Below are 1,809 nucleotides of genomic sequence, written 5' to 3' on the forward strand. Positions count from 1 at the left end.
TTGAACCAAGTTCATAGACAAAGAAATATAAACTCTTAGTTACTATCAGTTTGGATAAAAAGCAAGGAATGGAAGAGGAGTCTCTCAATGAGCCCACAGCTCAAGTTACTGGGGAACAATTTGGGGGATGTAACTGAGGCCCATAGATTAGAGGCAGTGTCACCAGAACAGAGCCACACACTGTGGGTTGTTCCTCCACCTGTTGGAGGATTGTGCACATATGTCTTCAGGGCAACATCTATGACCCACCATCTTGGTATCACAAGAACAGACCCCAGTAGCATAATCATATTCCTGTAAATTTACTTTTCTGTTTGCATTGACTTTCCAAGTATAGCTTTCCAATGAAAGGAAAGCTCCAGCAGGTATAGCTCCAGCAGGCCTGGGGGAAAAACAGTATTGAAGAAAAAGTGAAAATATCTCAGTGAAAACTGAAGAAATGTCATTTTAGAGTTTTGGAAGGGGATTCCAGGTAAAGCCAGGGCAAGGAGGAGCAGGCTTGGGAAGGTCAGGAATGCTTCCTGGAAAAGGATCAGTTGGAAGACTGTCCTTATCTAAAGGTCTGCACTGGGTCCTTTGGACTTTGGTGCCCCAGTAGGTCCCCTTATTCAGCCCCTGCAGCCATATCACTTCACCAGCCTTTCCTCACCTTCAAGGTAAAAAATCCCAGGTAACCTGGAATTTGTCATGCCTTAAAGAGTCTTGCAATACTAATTAGATGAAAATTCAGGGAGATGGAGACATTGGGAACCCTAGCTAAAAGCAATAGTGATGCAGGACTTGAGTGACTTGACAAGTCTGTAGGTAGGGGCCATGGTAAGTCATTTACCTTATATGCTTTTTTGGCCTACCACACAGTGTCTCGGTGCCTAGAGAATTGAGGAGCATATCATGCACTTGGTGCTCTAGCTCCAGGTCAAGAGAAGGCAACAGACTGACTCAAGAGAAAGTCCTCCACCTACATGAAGTCCTTGACTTGTTGGTTGCTTCCTCAAAGAATGTTCGCAATGACTCAGGTAGGTGTAACTTATGCAAACTCTACAGCTAATCCCCGAGAAATTTGTTTTCCTCTCAGCTACACCTCAGAGATCCTCCATATATTACTTATACAGAGGATTTCACTTCCCCTTTCCGTCCCCTTTCTTCTCCTACTCCCACTCTTAATTGGAGAGCAGAGCCTCAAAATAGACAGCACCGTCACCTCTAGCCATTGCTCTCTGTTATGGAACGAGCTCTTGACACACCCACATTTCTTATAGTAGTTCCACCTTTGAATCTAGGATCTTTGCTCTACCTACCTTTTCTGCATCCTGGGATTCTGGTATCCCTGATAATGAGTGAGTGGTTTCATGCCCCTCAGAATCTGGAAAATGACTCAACACCCCAGCTTTGGGTGTGGGAGGCAGTGGACCAGGACTGGGGATGTAGCTGAAATCCTATTATTGGTTCCACAGGCAGAAATCACCATCTCTCCATACTCTCAACATAGTCACATTGTTCGCATATTATAAAATGATAGAGTGCAACATGGTTAAATATATCACTGATTTGCCAATAATAGGTATTGGTGTATAAGTCTAACTGGCGGTACAGCCACCCGAGATATTGATTTTACTGTCTAATGGTTGAGAGAGATGTTATCTTGATTAATTAGGAGTCAAAAACAAATGCATCTTCTATTAGATCTCTTGTGGCACTCACCTGAAAAAAATTCTACATGTGTCCAGAAAATGTTGGAAACCTAAAAGGACAGAGTGAGGAGGGAGCAAACCACCTCTTCCGCCGTCTGTCCTGAGTGAAGATAATGTC

The 1,809-nt window shown here is 43.7% G+C and overlaps 1 annotated feature.

Moving 5' to 3' along the window:
• Nucleotides 401-1,600: an enhancer, noted in NCBI's record as "CDK7 strongly-dependent group 2 enhancer chr10:78383798-78384997 (GRCh37/hg19 assembly coordinates)". NCBI's record gives its function as "activates an origin of replication core promoter dependent on BRD2, BRD4, P300/CBP, MED14 and CDK7 cofactors, with strong dependence on CDK7, by STARR-seq in HCT116 cells {active_cell/tissue: HCT116}" and the evidence as "EXISTENCE:reporter gene assay evidence [ECO:0000049][PMID:35650434]".

The sequence above is a fragment of the Homo sapiens genome, chromosome 10 (assembly GCF_000001405.40).
Source record: "Homo sapiens chromosome 10, GRCh38.p14 Primary Assembly".
NCBI lineage: Eukaryota > Metazoa > Chordata > Mammalia > Primates > Hominidae > Homo > Homo sapiens.